At 39.7% G+C, this 19708-nt stretch overlaps 1 protein-coding gene across 46 annotated transcripts in view, besides 1 other annotated feature; it reads left to right on the top strand.

The window, feature by feature from the left end:
- SYNE1 (spectrin repeat containing nuclear envelope protein 1) overlaps positions 1-19708 on the top strand; it is a 515676-nt gene that overhangs the window by 136076 nt on the left and 359892 nt on the right. For 40 of the 46 annotated variants that reach the window (XM_047418508.1, XM_017010610.2, XM_017010609.2 and 37 more), the window contains 4 exons: positions 2495-2545; positions 12784-12891; positions 16315-16452; positions 18038-18202. In XM_047418508.1, the coding sequence (XP_047274464.1) occupies positions 2495-2545; positions 12784-12891; positions 16315-16452; positions 18038-18202 (462 nt within the window). The remainder of the gene's footprint in view (positions 1-2494; positions 2546-12783; positions 12892-16314; positions 16453-18037; positions 18203-19708) is intronic. The other 6 variants (XM_047418504.1, XM_047418503.1, XM_047418510.1 and 3 more) reach the window with 1 other exon arrangement.
- Positions 9539-10738: an enhancer, noted in NCBI's record as "CDK7 strongly-dependent group 2 enhancer chr6:152811684-152812883 (GRCh37/hg19 assembly coordinates)". NCBI's record gives its function as "activates an origin of replication core promoter dependent on BRD2, BRD4, P300/CBP, MED14 and CDK7 cofactors, with strong dependence on CDK7, by STARR-seq in HCT116 cells {active_cell/tissue: HCT116}" and the evidence as "EXISTENCE:reporter gene assay evidence [ECO:0000049][PMID:35650434]".

Genomic DNA, 19708 nt, shown 5'->3' with positions numbered 1-19708 from the left:
TGTTTTTTTAAACAACGGACATGACCATTCTTTTAATATTTTTGAAGTAGTATTGTATTCTATTTTTAATTACATAGAGAGGTGGATTCACTGCGGAATTTTAAATTAATTAGAAGTTGCTCCTCCTCTTCCTTTCTCCTTTCTTCCTGAAAAAAATAATTATAAGGCAAATGACATCAGGAAAAATAAGAAATGGAATTTTCAAGATGTGTGAAAAACTGTCTGTCTTCACTGTTCAGGTCTCAACTGGAGTTTTCAGAGCAATTTGAGATGACAATGAAGAGTAATAAGAAAACCAAAAAATGTAAAATATGTTTTCTTTTTTTTTTTTTTTTTGAGATGGAGTCTCACTCTGTCACCCAGGCTGGAGTGCAGTGGTGCGATCTCGGCTCACTGCAAGCTCCGCCTCCCAGGTTCATGCCATTCTCCTGCCTCAGCCTCCCAAGTAGCTGGGACTACAGGCGCCCGCCACCACGCCCGGCTAATTTTTTTGTATTTTTTAGTGGAGACGGGGTTTCACTGTGTTAGCCAGGATGGTCTTGATCTCCTAACCTCATGATCCTCTCACCTCGGCCTCCCAAAGTGCTGGGATTACAGGCGTGAGCCACCACACCTGGTCAATATGTTTTCTAAATAGACTTAGAAACATATATAAAGAAGAAAAAGGCTAAGGAGCATAACCAAAAGCTTACAAGTAGACATCACGCCAATAGTTAGAAATCAGTGACTTCATAAAAGAATAAGCAAAATAGAGGTAACTACTGTTTCCTAGGTCTCTAAATGAAATTAATTTGGCATTTGATAGAAATATGTTAGCTTCTTAAAAACAATAAGTTCAGGGAACCTCTTTTGTTCCTTGCCAGGATTGGGGCACAAACATTGGCCACCAGCGTGACTTAACTATAGTTATTACTAGTAAAGTAATTGTTTCTAAAAAGCACCACAAATGGCTAAAGCAAAGACTCCATGTGCAAATGCTGGCATGGATTGATGCAAATATTTTGGAGTCATCTGGGGCTTGCTGGGTTTTGATAATATTGCTGTGTGAATAAGAAACTCTATAAGAAAACACATTAGACTTACCTCATATAGCACAGAGAAAATCCATCCAAACTTCCATCTGGTTTTTATACGTGAAGTCCTTATATTACCCAGATGGATTTATATCTAATTTGGTGTCTGAGGTTTTACTGTTTTAGAGTCTCTGACATTAATCATCTCTCCAGATTAGTAAACTGAGTGGCTGGAAGCATCTAAAAAAACAAAAGGAGATGCTTTAGTTAATGCTCATGAGCAGGAGTTTAATGCAAAAATCCTTAGAGATTCGAAACACACAATCTATTGATATAGGCTTTTTAATATACTTTACTAAAGAAGCTTTATTATTTTCAGAGGTTACTTTAATCATCCAGAAAATAAATTCTGGTCGTTAAAAAAATTCCCTCTATCCCTTTCCTAAAAAGAGGATGCATATGATTTATTCAGGCTTATTATCTCAAAAATTAATTTTGAGGAAAATGTATTGGAAGCTTCGCCCTTTTTTAGTGGCATTTGTCATGTAGTACATAAACATCTAAAACTGAATATTTTGAATAATGTATTTTTTTGTTATGACATAGGGCTTATATTTAACAGTTAATGGTAACCTAATTCTGTCTAGTGAACCTTTAATATTTTGTAAACTATGCGTATTAGTTTTGAGCCCTCACCTCAAAGTACTCAGTATTTGTCACTCAGCTCTTACTCTCTTAATTCATTTTTTTAAAAATTCTTGGCATGAACATATCTACCAGGCTTTCATTTTTGTGTGTATTTGATTTATATATCCCCTTTGTGATTTTATTTGAATTAAGTATTTTATCGATACCATTTTAAATATGATTTTCTTACTGAAAATCGACATCACCATGGGTTTTTTTAATCTCATCCAATAAAACTGATGAACTTTTCCCCTTAAGATATTTCTTGAATAATTAGCACTCAGTCATAAATAAATAAAATAGGTCTATTGGCTTATCTCATTCACCTTCTAAACTTTCATTTATTTTTTCACCCATCTGTTCTTCCATTGCAACAAACATTCCTGACTGCCCTAAGAAGCACAACACATTCTTAATTCTTATGAGGACAAAGAAACATGTGTGCTGTGTATATTTATAGGGAAAGTAATATGAGTCCATATACCTCTTCTTTACATAGTTTACCTTCTAAAATATTTAATGTTATTTCGAGATATGTTTACAAAATATATAGCTACATATGACTATTTCAAGTTAAAAATGTGATATTCTAGGAAATGATGTTGCCTTATTGGAGTTGAATATTTTTGTAGTTTCAAAAGCTATGAAAATGTCTTAAAGTAAATATACCCTTGAAATGATTGCCTATTTCTCTAAAGGCGGATGCCTTTCCATTGATTTTATTCTTGTTTTCTAAATAATTTTTGACCCTGATTTATATTATATTTCTATATATTATCTTTTCATATTGTTAGGAAATACTTCCAGGTTTCCCATCTTTTGCAAATTCTGTACAAAATTTTAAGGTAAGATTTAAGTAATCTTGCATTGATGACCTCTTTCAAACATCCTGCATTCTGTAGCATTTTAGTCATTCCCTTGCATGTTTTTGTCTTTATGTATACATTTCTCTTAATACTTTAATCACATCATTTGCGTTTCCTTTCTAACAGAACAAATAACATACATATGTGTTACCAAATGTTAGTGATAGTCTAAGCTACTCCCATGGACTTGCCCATTAATCTTTCATTATAAAATGGTATCTATCAATTAATTTCTTCTTTATAATACTTAATAACACTAATAAAAAGGACTTACAGTAACTACGTATGGTGTCTTTAAATGTGACACAGAAAATAAAAACAAAATAAAGGTTTAGTTTTGTATCTTAAAATGTTAGCAGAGAATCAATGAACAAGGTAAGTATTCGATCAGCTTGTCAGTCTGAGTTTCCTCACTCTCTTCTGCTCAGTATTCGGTCTCATGGTTTAGTAAAATTCATGACATGTCATGGGTGCTCAAAAGATATTAGCAGAATGAATGGTTATGAATTCCTGTCCATATCCAAGTTATTGAATGCATGTCCCATATTTCAGCTTTTCCGTTTTTCTTTATGTTCCATCTAGGCCACAGGTTAAGGATATTTGTATTTATATCAACATTGGAATAGAAAAATCAGAAGCAACTAATTTCATATCAGATAGTAAATTTTTTAAATATCATGCTCCATAAAGTATGAGGTTATGTATATGTGAACATGGTACACAAATGTAAATGTGACTTATGTGTCTGTGTTTGTGTGTGTGTGTGTATGAGTGAATGAGAGAGAAAGAAAAACAATAAAGTGAAAGAAAAAGTAGAGAGAATGCTGGCAGTATAGCTGCTTGGAATTTAGATATAAGCAATAGGTTGCCACGTCTTCTGAATGTGTGTGAAAGTTATCAGTTGAAGAAAAGCCCTAGACTAATGGGCTATAAATATTGTTTTGTACTTCATTTTTCTCTTAGAAAGGAGAATGTTGAGTATATAAATAGCGACATCCTTCTCACCTTATTGCAATCTGCTAGACACTTTCCAACCATTAGAAAGTCATTTACTAAATAGGCTCTAATAAAGTTATTTTAAGAACATAACCCTTTTCTCTCAGATGACTTTGTATAACAAATAGCTCCTCTTCAGGGCAGTCAAGTGCTTTTTAAATCCAGAAGTTGGTGAGCAGCCTGTCCTCAGGCTCACAATGAAGTCTTGTGCTCACTGTTAGATGGGTCACTTCTGGTGGCCACACTGACCTCTGGTACCTTGGGTACACATCAAGAACAAGTTTTCTCTCTGAGCTCATAAGAATGTGGTATCAATGCTTTTCTGGGCATGAGAATCAACTGATAATAAAACATGTACCTTAATTATATTCACCTGTTCATTCAGAAAAGACATCCTGGGAAGAATTGAAGCTTTGTAGTCTTGGGCTCCAGTTCCATTTCTTTCTACTTTTAACTGAGTTTCTAACTTATTGCTTATTCTGCAATCATATATTGAGTGATTCTGAGTGCCAGACACTGTGTTAGATGATGGAGATTAAAAAGATACATAAGGAGTGTCAAACGTGTCCATGTGAAGAGCCCACCAAACAGGCTTTGTACGAGCAATAAAGCTTTTTAATCACCCAAGTGCAGGCAGACTGAGTTTGAAAAAGGAGTCAGCAAAGGGAGACAGAGGTGGGGCAGTTTTATAGGATTTGGGTGGGTAGTGGAAAATTACAGTCAAAGGGGTTTTTTCTCTTGCAGACAGGGGCAGGTGTTACAAGGTGCTCGGTGGGGAGCTTCCGAGATTCATTGTCCAGGAGAAAGAATTTCACAAGGTCACTTGACCAGTTAGTGTGGGGCAGGAACAAACCACAATGGTGGAATGTCATCGGTTAAGGCAGGAACCAGCCATTTTCACTTCTTTTCTGGTTCTTCAGTTGCCTCAGCCATCTGAATGTATACGTGCAGACTTGGACTCAGAGACCTGACATTCCTGTCTTCTTATATTAATAAGAAAAACAAAACAAAATAGTGGTGAAGTGTTGGGGCATTGAAAATTTGTGGGGGATGTTTCTCAGAGCTGCTTCGAGCAGGATTGGGCTGATGTGGGAACCTAGAGTGGGAGAGATTAAACTGAAGAAAGATTTTGGGGTAAGGGGTGATATCGTGGGGTTGTTAGAAGGAGCATTTGTCATATAGAATGATTGGTGATGGCCTGGATGTGGTTTTGTGTGAATTGAGAAACTAAACAGAAGACACAAGGTCTGAATAAGAGAAGGAGAAAAAGAGGTAATAAAGGACTAAGAATTGGGAGGAACCAGGACATCCAGTTAGAGAGTGCCCAAGGCGGTTCAGCGTAATTATTTGCTTGGTTGGCAAGTTTTTGGACTCTATCCTTGAGTTTTTTTATGTTGTCATACACCAGGCCAGATTGATTTGGGTAAAAACAACACTCTTCATTTAAAAATATACAGAGTTCTCCTTTTTCAGCAGTAAGTCGAGGCCTATTCCTGTCTTCTATATTAATAAGAAAAATAAAACAAAATAGTGGTGAAGTGTTGGTGTCATGAGGGGAAGAGGAAGCTGTTCAGTCCTATTTGCAAATTGAATTTTGGGAGTAAGGAAAACTAGTGTGCACGTGCCTGTCCTATTAGCAGGTAGACACATGTAGGTAGAGGAGTCACAGAAGAAGAGACCTTGTGCAACACTGGAAATGCAAAGTGAAAAAATGAGAAAGAGCACTAAAAGAGGTGTCTTGTACCCAGACTCCTAGTATTATATATGAAGTTTCTGTGCCACAAAAGAAATAGCACTCGAATATAAAATTTTCTTTTTAATTCTCAGCAAGGCAAGTTACTTCTATAGAAGGTTGCACCCTTACAGATGGAGCAATGGTGAGCACACACTTGGACAAGGGACGGGAAGGGGTTCTTATCCCTGATGCACGTGGCCCCTGCTGCTGCGTCCTTCCCCTATTGGCTAGGGTTAGACCGCACAGGCTAAACTAATTTCAATTGGCTAATTTAAAGAGAGTGACAGGGTGAGTGGTTTGGCAGGAAAAATGGTTATGACAGCAGGTCATTGGAATGAGTCAGGGTGGAACAGGTAATCAGAATGAGTCAGGGTGGAGCAGGTAATCGGAATGAGTCAGGGTGGAGCAGGTGATTGAAATGAGTCAGGGTGGAGCAGGTAATTGAAAAAGTTTGCTTTACGAGGAAGTTAAGTTTAAAAGTAGAAGGCAAAGAATTGAACCTACTGACATATTGATTCTTTGAAAAGAAATTTAGAACTCATATCTAACACTAGGGATCCAGCTAGGGCAGCAGCCATTAGAAGTTGTAATGGGGATTGATGGGACAACTGGGTAGAGCGGGAGGCTAAATTGAGGAATTATGTCAACAGAAGGGAGGAGATGACCGCGGTGGCCTTCTCAGACCCTGAGGGAAAGGCCTCTACCCATCCAGTGAAAGTGTCTGCACAGACCAAGAGGTATTTTAGTTTCCTGACTCGGGGCATGTGGGTAAAGTCAATCTGCCAATCCTGGGCAGGGGCGAACTCCCTGAGGAGTGGGAGAATAGCAAATGGAACACTGAGAAGTGATTTCCTTGAGGATAGATTTCCATGATGGAAAGGAAATGAGAGGTTCTAAGAGGAGGGCTAGTGGCTTGTAACCTACATGGAAGAGGTTATGAAAAACGATAGAATGGAATGAGCTGTAAGGCTGGAAGGAGGAATTTTCCTTGGTCAAAGAACTATTTGCCTTGAGTAGGGAGGGATTGATAGGTGGAAACTTCAGTGGGAGAGTGAGTAGGAGTGACTGATGAGAAGGAGAAAAACTGGCCATGAGGGACATAAGTAGGAATACTGGCTGCTTCTTTAGCTGTCTTATCAGCATAATTGTTGCCTTGAGCAATGGGGTCTGAGGCTTTTTGATGGCCTTTGCAGTGAAGGACTCCAGCTTCCTTTGGAAGTAAAGCAGCCTTGAGAAGAGTTTTTATTAAAGAGTCATTAACGATGGAGGACCCTTGCATGGTGAGGAAAACTCTTTCAGCCCATGTAACAGCATGGTGGTGCAGGATATGGAAGGCATATTTAGGGTCAGTATAAATATTGACGTGTAGTCCCTTTGCAAGAGTGAGGGCCTGAGTTAAGGCAATGAGTTTGGCTTGCTGAGAGGTAGTGGAGGAGGGCGGAGCAGTAGCCTGAATGATAGATGTGGAAGATACTATAGCATAGCCTGCCTTTGCTGGTGAGTGGCAATTAGGCCTGGTGGAACTGCCATCAATAAACCAAGTGTGATCAGGGTGAGGAACAGGAAAGAAGGAAATATGGGGAAATGGAGTGAATGCCAGGTGGATCAGAGAGATACAATCATGGGGGTCAGGTGTGGTAGCAGGAATAATGTGGGAGGCCAGATTGAAGTCCAGGCCAGGAACAATGGTAATTGTGGGAGATTCAACAAATAGTGAGTACAGTTGAAGGAGCTAGGGAGCAGAAAGTATACGCATCAAGTGTGAGGAGGAAAATGGATTTTGAAAGTTATGGGAACTGTAGAGTAAATGGAGCATAGCTTGTGATTTTGATGGCCTCTAAAAGTATTAAAGCGGTGGCTGTCACTGCATACAGACATGAAGGCCAGCTCAGAACTGTGCGGTCAGGTTGTTCGGATAGAAAGGCTACAGAGTGCAGTCCCGGCTCTTGTGTAAGAATTCTGACTGCACAGTCCTGTACTTTGGCTGCGTGTAATGAAAAGGGTTGGGATGAGTTAGGGAGAGCTAGTGTGTGAGCAGCTTTTAGGACAGTTTTTAAGGAACGGAAAGACGAGTGGGGAAAGGATTTAGGATCTATGGGGTCAGCTAGGTTTCCTTTTGTATGATGGTTTAGTCAGGATGGCAAAAACAGATATCCAAAGGCGAAAGTACCTAACTATGCCTAGGAAGGAAAGGAGTTGTTGCTTTGTAGAAGGGGTTGGGGTTTGGGAGATTAGCCGGACACGATCAACAGGGAGAGCATATGTGCTTTTATGAAGAGTTATGCTGAGATAGGTAATGGATGAGGAAGAAATTTGGCCTTTGACGGGGGAGTTGCATTATCCTTTTGAGAATAGATGTTGGAGGAGCAGGAGGATGTCCTGTTGGGAAGATCTGTAGGAGGGGCTATAAAGTAGAAGGTTGTCAAAATATTGAATACGGTGAGAAGCAGATGGACAGAAAGAAAGTAAAGTATGAGAAAGGGCTTGACTGAAGTAATGGGCGCTGTCCCTGAAGCCTTGCAGCAGTACAGCCCAGGTAAGTTGCTGAGACTGATGGGTATCAGGGTCAGTCCAAATGAAAGCGAAGAGAGGCTGGGATGAAGGGTGTAAAGGAATAGCAAAGAAAGCATCTTTGAAATCCAGAACAGAATAAGGGGTTGTGGAGGGAGGTATTGAGGATAGGAGAGTATATGGGTTTGGCACCACGGGGTGGATAGGCAAGACAATTTTTTTGATAAGGTGAAGATCCTGGACAGGCTTTAGTCCTCTCAAAGCCTGTTGTGGGATGGGATACTGGTGTTGAGCAGGGTAAGGATGATTAGATTTTAATGGGATAGTAATGGGCATGTGGTCAATTGCTAGGGAGGGAGTAGAGTTGTCTCATACTTGTGGGTTCAGGTGCAGGGGATACAAGAGGAAGACATGAAGGAGGTTTTGAACAGGGGAAAGGGTAGCAATGAGATGTGGCTGTAGCCCAGGAATAGTCAGAGAAGCAGATAATTCACTTAAAATGTCTTGATCTAATAAGGGAACTGGGCAGATGGGGATAACTAAAAAAGAGGCATAAAAGACTGTTTTCCAAGTTGACACCAGAGTGGGGGAGTTTTAAAGGGCCCAGCAGCCTGGCCATCAATATCCACAACAGTTATGGGGGCAAGGTAAACAGGCCCTTGAAAAGAAGGTAATGTGGAGTGGGTAGCCTCCGTATTGATTAAGAAGGGTATGGACTTACACTCCACTCTAAGAGTTACCTAAAGCATCTGTGATGGTCCAGGAGGCTTCCGAGGTGATTGGGCTGTGTCAGTCTTCAGCCGCTAAGCTGAGAAGATCTGGGAAGGAGTCAGTCAGAGAGCCTTGGGCCAGAGTTCCAGGGGCTCTGGGAGTGGCTTCCAGGCAAGTTGGACAGTCCTATTTCCAGTGGGTTCCTGCACAAGTGGGACATGGCTTAGGAGGAATCCCAGGCTGTGGTCATTCCTTGGCCCAGTGGCCAGATTTCCAGCACTTGAAGCAAGATCCTGGGGGAGAAGGTCCTGGAGGAATGCCTGGCCACTGTGGTTTAGGTATTTTGAAGTTCTTGTGTGCTGGAGATGTGGCTGGGGTTTCTCTCACAGTGGAGGCAAGTAATTGCAACTCAGAAATAAGTTGCCGCTTGGCTGACTCTTCTCTATTATTGTACACCTTGAAGGCGAGATTGATTAAGTCTTGTTGTGGGGTTTGAGGGCCAGAATCTAATTTTTGGAGCTTTTTCTAATGTTGGGAGTGGGTTGAGTAGTAAAATGCATATTGAGAATAGGACGGCCTTCTGGCCCCTCTGGGTCTAGGGCGGCAAAGCATCTAAGGGTTGTTGCCAAACAGGCCATGAACTGGGCTGGGCTTTTATACTTGACGAAAAAGAGCCTGAACACTAACTGATTTGAGAGAGGTCAGATAAAGAAAAAGGAGGGTTAACCTTGACTCTGCCTTGAGCTGCAGCCACCTCTGTAAGAGGAAATCGTTGGGCAGGTTGGGGAGGGCTAGTCGTGGAACAAAACTATAAGCCAGACAGGGTGGGAGGAGGGGGAGGTGATAGAAGGATTATAGGGCTGGGGAGTGGAGGCTGAGGAAGAATTAGGACCTGGCTCAGCCTGGTGAGGAGCAGCCTGGTGAGGAGGGGAGAGGTCAGATGGGTCCATAGAAAAGGAGGATTCAAAGGACTCAGAGCTTGGGGTGGAGACTGAAGGAACAGACAGGAGAGAAAGAAGATTTGTGATGAGTCGCACTGGGAGCAGAGACTAGGGAGGGACTGATGTGTAAAAGAATGCCTGGATGTCAGGCATCTCAGACCATTTGCACATTTTTCAAGAAAAATCATCCAGGTCTTGTAAGATGGAGAAATCAAAAGTGCTGTTTTCTGGCCATTTAGAACCATTGTTGAGTTTGTATTGGGGCCAAGCAGTGTTGCAGAAGAAAATAAGGCAGTAAGGTTTTAGGTCAGGCGTGAGATGAAGAGGTTTTAAGTTCTTGAGAACACAGGCTAAGGGAGAAGAAGGGGGAATGGAGGGTGGAAGCTTGCCCATAGTGAAGGAGGTAAGTTTAAAGAGAAAGGTAGAGACACAGAGAAGGGGGTGGTGAGCAGCCCTGGGCTGTAATGTGGGTGAGCAGCCAAAGCAGGCGTCTCCACAATTGATTTGCCACCAAGGGAATGTGGGTGAATGACCAAGGCAGGCGTCCCCACAGTGATCAGACACTAGTGGAATGTGGGTGAATAATCAGGCAGGCATCCCCACAGTGATCAGACACTAGTGGAATGTGGGTGAATAATCAGGCAGGCATCCCCACAGTGATCAGACACTAGTGGAATGTGGGTGAATAATCAGGCAGGCATCCCCACAGTGATCAGACACCAGTGGAATGTGGGTGAATGATCAGGGCAGGCATCCACACGGTGATTAAACACCAAGGGAAGACTGTCTTCCCAAGTCCGTGACCCACGCTGGAGTTTTGTGTCCACAGATAAAATGTGTCTCCTTTGTCTCTATTAGAGAGGAAAAAGAACTGGAATTGGAAGGACAGGGAGATTGAAAGGTAGCGAGAGAAGCTGGAGAAGAGAGTGAAAAGACCGCTTGCCCGATTTGAAATTGGTAAGATGTTCCTTGGGCTGGCCTGAGGACCCAAGGTCATAGGTGGATCTTCTCATGGAGTGAGGGTGAGGACAGGGGACTGGTCTCCTGAAGGAATCCCCCTGTCCCAGATCTTCAGCACCAAATGTCACGTGTGTCCGTGTGAAGAGCCCAACAAACAGGCTTTGTGTGAGCAATAAAGCTTTTTAATCACCCAAGTGCAGGCAGACTGAGTCCGAAAAAGGTAGATAGGGGTGGGGCAGTTTTATAGGATTTGGGAGGGTAGTGGAAAATTACAGTCAAAGGGGGTTTTTCTCTTGCAGACAGAGGCAGGGGTTACAAGGTGCTGAATGGGGAGCTTCCGAGATTCATTGTCCAGAGAAAGAATTTCACAAGATCAATTGATCAGTTAGGATGGGGCAGGAACAAATCACAATGGTGGAATGTCATCGGTTAAGGCAGGAACCAGCCATTTTCACTTATTTTGTGGTTCTTCAGTTGCCTCAGGCCATCTGGATATATACGTGCAGACTTGGGCTCAGAGGCCTGACAAGGATTTTGTGTAGTTGTTCCTAGATATTCACAAGTGATTGGTTCCAGGACCCCCAAGATAGCAAAATTTATGATGCTCAGGTTCCTGATATAAAATAGTGTAGTATTTGCATATAACCTACACATATCCTCCCATATACTTTAATCTGTAGATTATGTATAATACCTAACACAAAGTAAATGCTATTTAAATAGCTGTTATACTGTGTTGTATTTTGTTTGTATTATCTTTATTGCTGTATTGTTATTTTTATTGTTTATTTTCTGAATATTTTCAATCTGCTATTGATTGAATCTAAGAAAACAGAGGGCTGACTTTATATAATGCATTTGGGTGAATATTAGCGCTGAGGTTGTCACAGGATCATAGAGAAGTGTTCTCAATATATGATTCCTTCACCAGCAGCATCAGATTCACCTGGGAACTTAGACATACGGATTTTTGGCTCTACCCCACATCCACTCAGCCAGAAACTCTGGGGGTGGTGCCCAGCAATTTGTGTTTTTATAAGCCCCTCAGATGATTTCTAGTGTGTACTAAGTGAGAGAACCACTGGCATAGGAAACAGATGCCCTCACTCAGACTTCTGGGTTAGAAAATCTTCCTAGAGTAGGTTGTGCCTGAGCCGAGTTCTGAAAAAGGCATTATCCAAGGGAAAATGTGGTAAGTGTTTAGGCAGAAGACAACTGCTTTTGCAAGACAAGAAAGTGAGAGAAGGCATGGATCATGAGAATGTGACAACCTCTGTACTGGACATGCTACATAGATTACCTCTAATTCTCAGCAAAACAATTGAAAGGGTCCGTGATGATTTAACACACCCTTTAGTACATCCTGTAGTATGACAGTAGAGAGGTTAACGAAAAAAAAAAAAAAAAAAGACACACCAAGCTCACAGAGCTAATGCATGGCAAAGCCAGAATTTGAAACCCAGTTTAGCCTGCCTCCATAAATGGCATTCTTTCCATTCGGAAACATCACCTGCCAAGGGGGACAGTCATTTTACCTGTGTCACAGCACTGTCAGCAGCAAGTGAGATGCTGGAGTTGCATTTTGTAAATGCCGAAAAATCATGTACGGTATGATTATGAATACTTGGCATTCTTATGAGACACTACATCTTGATGAAAAGTTAGGATATTTTCACTAAATCAGTGCTATTATAGAATGGCCCTTGTCATTATTTGTGAAAATAAGTATGAAAATCCCAATTTTATTTTTCATTTTTGAGATGAGTGGTGACCTGGATACATTTATTCACCAAATAACTTGATAAATCTCTAATAGGTATTATGTTCCCAGGGTCTAGGAATACTGTGTTGAACAAGATAAATGTGTTTTCTGTCCACATGGAGATTGTAATACCTAATATCAGTTTAAATAGTAATATAGACAAGTCACCCAATGGTATTCTGGGTGTAACTCCTCAAATTCAGTCAAAATGAATCCCATCTAGAACTGTCTTCTGGGTTACCAATGGCTTTGGGTAGGAAGCAACCCACAGGACTGTGTTTCTACTCCAGCTATTACTCTTATTATTTGTGTACTTAGGAAATTCCCTCCTGGTCACATTTTCTTTATTAAATTAGCGTTACTTGGCAAAAAAAAAATGGAGTTGGTTAATTTCGTTATTCAATAAGATAACTAAGATACTTTTCTAGAGTTAACTTTTGCTTCTTACTGTCCTAAAGGTGGGGGTAAGGAGAAAGGAAATTTTTCAGAGACAGTTGGGACTTACTAAATATTAAGTCTCTTCTAGAATCAGTCAAGTATTAATCAGCAATTAAATAAATGCACAGATACTAATAAAATTGTAATGTCTCCTCATTTCCAGAGAGAAGACAGAGTAATTTTTAAGGAAATGAAAGTTTGGATAGAACAATTTGAGAGAGATTTGACAAGAGCACAGATGGTGGAATCAAATTTACAGGATAAATATCAGGTATTGTATGGAGAAGATTTTTGAATTTTTCAAAAGCTATTTTTGACTAATATTTATATATGTCATTTGATCTCCATTTAATGCTTCAAATTACATTAATGAGAAAAGTCTTTAAAGACATAACATTCATTACCCTAAGTTTGCATATAATTTAATAATTGTATTTCTAACTTATGTAGATAGTCTTAAGTTGCATTGTGTCCACACTATATATGGAGCACTGAGGCTTCATCACTTTTCCATAACTCAGTCTTATAGATGACTTGGAAAACAAATGCAGAGTCATTGTGTTTATAGAACTCATGATTTTTTTTTTTTTTTGAGACGGAGTCTCACTCTCTCTCCCAGGCTAGAGTGCAATGGCGTGATCTTGGATCACTGCAAGCTCTGCCTCCTGGGTTCACACCATTCTCCTGCCTCAGCCTCCTGAGTAGCTGGGACTACAGGCACCCACCACCACACCTGGCTAATTTTTTGTATTTTTAGTAGAGATGGGGTTTCACCATGTTAGCCAGGATGGTCTCAATCTCCTGACCTCGGGATCCACCTGCCTCGGCCTCCCAAAGTGCTGGGATTACAGGCGTGAGCCACCATGCCCGGCCAGAACTCATGATCTTATAGATCTCACCTAACCCAAAAATCTACCAAGAACAAAGAGTTGAGTCAAATTGAAAATTAGTATAAAATAAACTGAATTTAACAAAGGATTGCAACATGAGTATTGGAGGGTCCATTAAAGGGATCAGTTTCGACTGCGACCTGCCTAGTCCAACACCATTGCATTCAAGTTGAGCTCAGAGTTAATGTTTTTCTCCAGTCTGACTACAGTGTCATTAATTGGACTTCTGCTTCTGATTTTCACTTCCAAGACACAAAACACAGTTTATTCCCATTTACAAAGTGTGATTTCAATAGCAAAGACACAGAATCAACCCAAATGCCCATCAATGTAGACTGGAGAAATAAAATCTGGTACATATACACCATGGAATACTAGGCTGCCATATAAAGGAACAAGATCATGCCCTTTGCAGGGACATGGATGGAACTGGAAGTCATTATCCTCAGCAAACTAATGCAGGAACAGAAAACCAAACCCTGCGTGTTCTCACTTATAAGTGGGAGCTGAACAATGAGAACACATGGACACATGGAGGAACAACACACACTGGGGCCTGTGGGGGAGTGGGAGAAGGAGAGCATCAGGAAGAATAGCTAATGGATGCTGGGCTTAGTACCTAGATGATGGGTTGATCTGTGCAGCAAACCACCATGGCACATGATTACCTATGTAACAAATCTTCCTGTACATGTACCCTAGAACTTAAAATAAAAGTTGGAGAAAAAATAAAAATTAATAAAAATTGTGATTTATTTGATGCAGCATTATCATTTTTCCCAATGTAAAACATCAGTCCCTTTTAGTGGCAAAATTAAATATAGTATATTCTGAATTATATTCTGTAATATATTCTACTCGACATCATATTTCAGTCATTTCTGCTACAGAAAAAGGTCAAATGAAGTGAGAACTTCAACATGGTAGACAAAAGATTTATCTATGGCATTAGTGATTTTATATAATTGTATCTTTAAAATATGCCTGAATTTAGGTGGATGATAGCATCAATATTATATTTGTCAAACTTAGCAAAGCAATAAATATGTGGTTAATATGCATGTACTCTTTTGCTTTGAAATTCAGTGTAAGCTTTTTTCCCCAAAATAAAATTTTCTGGGCTGAGATCCATTAAAAAATGATTAAGCCAGTAAATGGAGAAAAGAATTGCAAGAACAGAGTGAATATACTTATTTAGTCCACTGATGAGGTTTAGGTTTGGCACCAATTATCAAAAAATAAATTCCAAGTTATAAAGCTATCTGTTATACAGATGCTAGTTCATGAGGGAAACAAAGGCTTAGGAAAACAGAAAACAGAAATCCTCCTTTCAGCCCGAAGGTGATCACTAGTCTCATAAAAATGGGTTTAGAGTCTCTCTGAAATCTGAATTTAGGGAAAATTTCATTTCATCTTTACATTCTGTAATCAGCATTTTAAATCTCTTTCAATCTGTAGCAAATGCTGCATTTTCCAGTTTTTTCACTCAGAATCCTGTGGAATAAAATTTAAAAGTTGATTTGATGTTTTGTTTTTTTTTAAATTTATTTTTTTGTTGTTTTTTTTAATATTTTTTTTAGTCAGAGTGTCACTCTGTCGCCAAGCTGGAGTGTAGTGGCATGATCGTGATCTCAGCTCACTGCAACCTCCGCCTCCCAGGCTCAAGCGATTCTCCTGCCTCAGCCTCCTGAGTAGCTGGGACTACAGGCATGCGCCACTATGCTCAGCTAATTTTTGTATTTTTAATGGCGACGGGCTTTCACCATGTTGGCCAGGATGATCTCAATCTCTTGACCTCATGATCCGCCCGCCTCGATCTCCAAAAGTGCTGGGGTTACAGGTGTGAGCCACCGTGCCCAGCCTATGTTTTGGTATTTTTAAAATTCCATTCAGTTAGAGAAAATGAAAGAAAACCTTGTAGATAAAATTCTAGTTCACTATCTCCCCCCAGTGTTCTTCACGTGAATTTACATGTTTGTTTATAATTTTGAAATTCTTTTAGTTGTGTTATCTGCTAACTTTTGTGGGGCCATTCTCCTGTAACATAATTGCACATTTTAATTATCTTTTCATTTTATGTTTAGATTTGGAGTCATATTTTAGGATGGGTTAATTTAGTTAATGTAAAATATAAAACTTTAAAAATTGTTTTAATGTTAGCATTAAGCTTATAGTTAAGTCTACATATAATACATTGATGTCAACTGTACTGTGATATACTTAATATTTTAATACCATGAAATTAAAGCAAAGGATTATCATGTAAACATGGTCCCCTAAAGTAAACCTCTTTATGCAGGCTTACTTAAACACAAATCTAGACAGCTTTAATTCTGCATTATTTTGATATATGCAATTTCTATTTGTAAATTGTTTGGTACTTGAAGTAAAGCAACTATCTTGATTATTAGCTAAGATTTATACTCCTGTTTACTATGATTTCCTGACAAACATATACTGGTACACAAATTACTTTACTAGAAATGAGAAATCCTAGGCTTTAGTCCTACCTCTACTACTTGTCCTTGATAAGTCATTTCTGGGCTTCAGAATAATAATGCATGTGTAGGGTGATGGAGAGAACCAGAGAGGATAATATGAAGAAAGCACTTAGCACAGGGTCAAGCTATGTCAGGGCTTGATGAATGACAGCTGCTATTAGTATCATAACTACCGTTATTATTATCAACAACATATATTGAGTGTTATCCAAATAGAAAAGATTGTTATTTAGGAAATGTGCTTTCCTTTGCTTTTGCTTTTTTTGACTCATTGCCATACTGTTGCTGTTTTTCCTCTTTTAGTCATTTAAGCACTTCAGAGTTCAATATGAAATGAAGAGGAAACAGATTGAACATTTAATACAACCATTACACAGAGACGGTAAATTGTCACTTGACCAAGCATTGGTAAAACAATCTTGGGATAGAGTGACCTCCAGGGTAAGTTCTCCCACAATTAGTTATACTGAGCTTAATAAATTTAGAAAAGAATATTTTTCATCATCTATTTCTACACAGTGGTATGGCAACAGGTTCTACTGCCTCTGTCTGAGGCTAGAAAGACTTAACTATGGGAGAATCTTTGCCTCCTTGTCTAGTTTTCCTGTAAGTTAATGGAAGTCTTTGGTTTAACAGCTATTTTCTTGCCTTGGCTTCCCTCTATGTGATATCAGCAATTAACTAGATGATAGATTAAAGTCCTGAGACCATCTGGATCACTTCACACTTTACACAACTTCCTTCTGGGTGGTTTAGAAGAGGTGACTCTCTGGTCTTGTAGCAGATTCTCCAGAGTAGAGCCACAGCAACTTCTTGTATTCTAAAATCATGTTTCATCAACAGTTAATGACCTTCCTGTGTTGACATACAGTTTTGCATTCTTTAATTCAAGCATCTTTTTTTATCTGATCATGAATCTGAAGGAAAATTGCTCAGTATCTTTCATATTCATATTCTTCATGCTTAAAGGCCAAGATTTCAAACCCCTGGAACACTTCTATCACTAATAAGAATATTTGTCTTGAACTTACCATATATTCTTTACTTTATTTTATTTTGTTTTTGAGATAGTGTCTTGCTCTGTCACCCAGGCTAAAGTGCAGTGGCACAATCACAGCTCACTGCAGCTTCAACCTCCTTGGCTCAAGCAATCATCCTACCTCAGCCTCCCAAGTAGCTGGGACCACAGGCATGTACCACCATACTTGGCTAATTTTTTTTTTTTTTTTTTTTTTTTGTAGAGATGAGATCTCACTATATTGCCCAGGGTGGTTTTAAACTCCTGGGCTCAAGCATCTCATCCATCTTGGCTTCCCAAATTTCTGGGATTACTGGAGTGAGCCACTGCACCCAGCCTAATTTTTTTTTTGATAGTCTCATTTTTTCTAGTGACTCCATTAAAGAATAGGCTAGTTCCTAAGCACCTCAACTCATCCCACCTGGCTTTCCAGTAAGCTAGGAAATGTGTCTGAGAATTGGGTAAAATGGAAGAGATGGAGAGAAGGGTAGACAATCATAGGATTATAGAAAGAATCCTTTAAACCCATCTTTGTCCAGAGCTGCTTAGATAATCCTCATTTTTCTGAACTTGTTCTGATCACGTGGGAGGTTTTAATGGGATTCTCATTCCGACGACCAAGATACACATGTGCCAGGTGTATAACTGCTGCATCCTCCAAGCATGTCACCAAACCTGATCCCTTCCCTTTCAGCAAAAGCCACACTGAAAATCAGTGGGTGCTTCATGCTACTCCTGTAAGAGGAAAATTGCTTACACTTCTGATAATATTCTTCCATGTTTAAGATGTATTTTCAGTTTCTTCAAAATTTGCTTTTAACTGTAATTTTCTCCCCATCCCTAAAGTGTCAAACTCAGAACACAGACATTTGCTTATTTGATATTTATTAACTTAGCCTGAAATCATTAACTTAAAGCTTTATGTATGCTTTACTATTATTTGGGTGCAATTTTATAAATTGCCATCTGTATTAAAGATATTTTACTTTTCTGCTTTTTAAATTTTAGCTCTTTGACTGGCATATACAGCTTGATAAATCTCTTCCTGCACCTCTGGGCACCATAGGTGCCTGGCTGTACAGAGCGGAGGTGGCCCTGAGAGAGGAAATAACCGTTCAACAGGTCCACGAGGAAACAGCAAACACGATACAACGGAAACTTGAGCAACATAAGGTAAAAATTCTGGTTGGAAAACCTTGCAGCATAACAGCCCTACTGTGGTCTGGAGAGGTAGCCTAGTTACAACCTGCTCTGGCGGGGACGCCCCAAATATTAATTCTACATGATCGGAGACGTCACACCTTCTTAGAGTTCTCTAATTTGATTGTTTCTTTCTTACACTGGTTAATGACGGTTCCAGTGGGTTGACTTCCTGAGATATTTTCCATACCTGTGTGGTATTTTTTTCATCTGCAGCTATCTTTGTTATTTCTGTTGTTATATATTATTTTTCAAAAGATAAGCATAGATGGTATGCATTTACATAATAATGTGGCCGGCCATTGGCTCCAGACCTCATTTCTGCCTCCATTCTCAAAGGAAGGCAGGCAGAAGTTCTTATGTCTTGGTGCTGTGGGGTGGGGGTAGAAGGAATGGAGGCTGTAGGAAGTGGTGGGGTTAGGCTTTGATGGTCTCTTAGTCATTTGGGATGTTTTAAACTTAGTATATGATCAGTTGTATATGGTATAATTTCCAATATATTTCCTCTTTGTGTTTTGTGATATTACAGGCCTAACTAAAAATGCCGTTTTTCATTAACATCACATTAATGCAATCTTGCATTTTATGCAATTGAATTTGTATACTTCATTTGCTGTAATGTGGTGGGGTATTCCTGCATATGTGAAAAATAGAGATTTCTACTCCTGACTACACATGGGCAATGTATAGCCCATGTATATTTTCTGCCAAATTATTGATATTTTTGAAAAATTACCCCAAGGAAATACACTGTCCTGTATTCTAGACAAGATCATAAAGCAAATTTACAACAGATTTTATTGCCTTTTATTATTTTATGCCTCTCTGGGGCTTTACTTTTGGAGCTAGATATACAGAGACACAGAGATGTGATGCCATTGCCGATCTTGGCCATTTCAACTTGACAGACTCAACCTCAGACAAGCTCATCAAACCAGATGGCCACGGCAAGATTTGATGATCTGCAGAGGCCATCACTCAGGGTCCTGCCTCCATTTCCTCTTGGCCTTTTCTGATACTCAGTGCCTTTAGACACTTTTAAAGTTGCTGATGATCTCTTAGCTCCTCTCCTCCCCCAATCACCAACGCAGACAAACACACACACTGAACTCTCTGTCATTTGGCTTCTCAGATGCAAGCATGACTTTGGGGTCTTCTTCATCTGTGCAGATACTCACAAATAAAAGCGGGGCCTGCTTATCTGTGCCTTAGTGCCCTAAAGTGGGGGCAGCTATGCCGTAAGGGACCCAGAGTTCAGGCCTCATACGAGATCAAGTCACAAGAATTTTCCTGGGATTGAATCAGTTTCCTGGGCCATGTCAATTTTGAATCACCCCAGTATATTAAAAATAGAGAAAAGTGTGAAAATAGTATTACACAAACAATAACATCTTTAGCAAATTAGCAACTAAGCATATATAACACACAATAATTTTTTCATGGAAAACTTAATTGAAACTATTTTTTTACCTTAACTGG

This window comes from Homo sapiens, chromosome 6 (genome assembly GCF_000001405.40).
Source record: "Homo sapiens chromosome 6, GRCh38.p14 Primary Assembly".
NCBI classification, from domain to species: Eukaryota; Metazoa; Chordata; class Mammalia; order Primates; family Hominidae; genus Homo; species Homo sapiens.
This window is presented reverse-complemented; position numbering and strand designations above follow the sequence as displayed.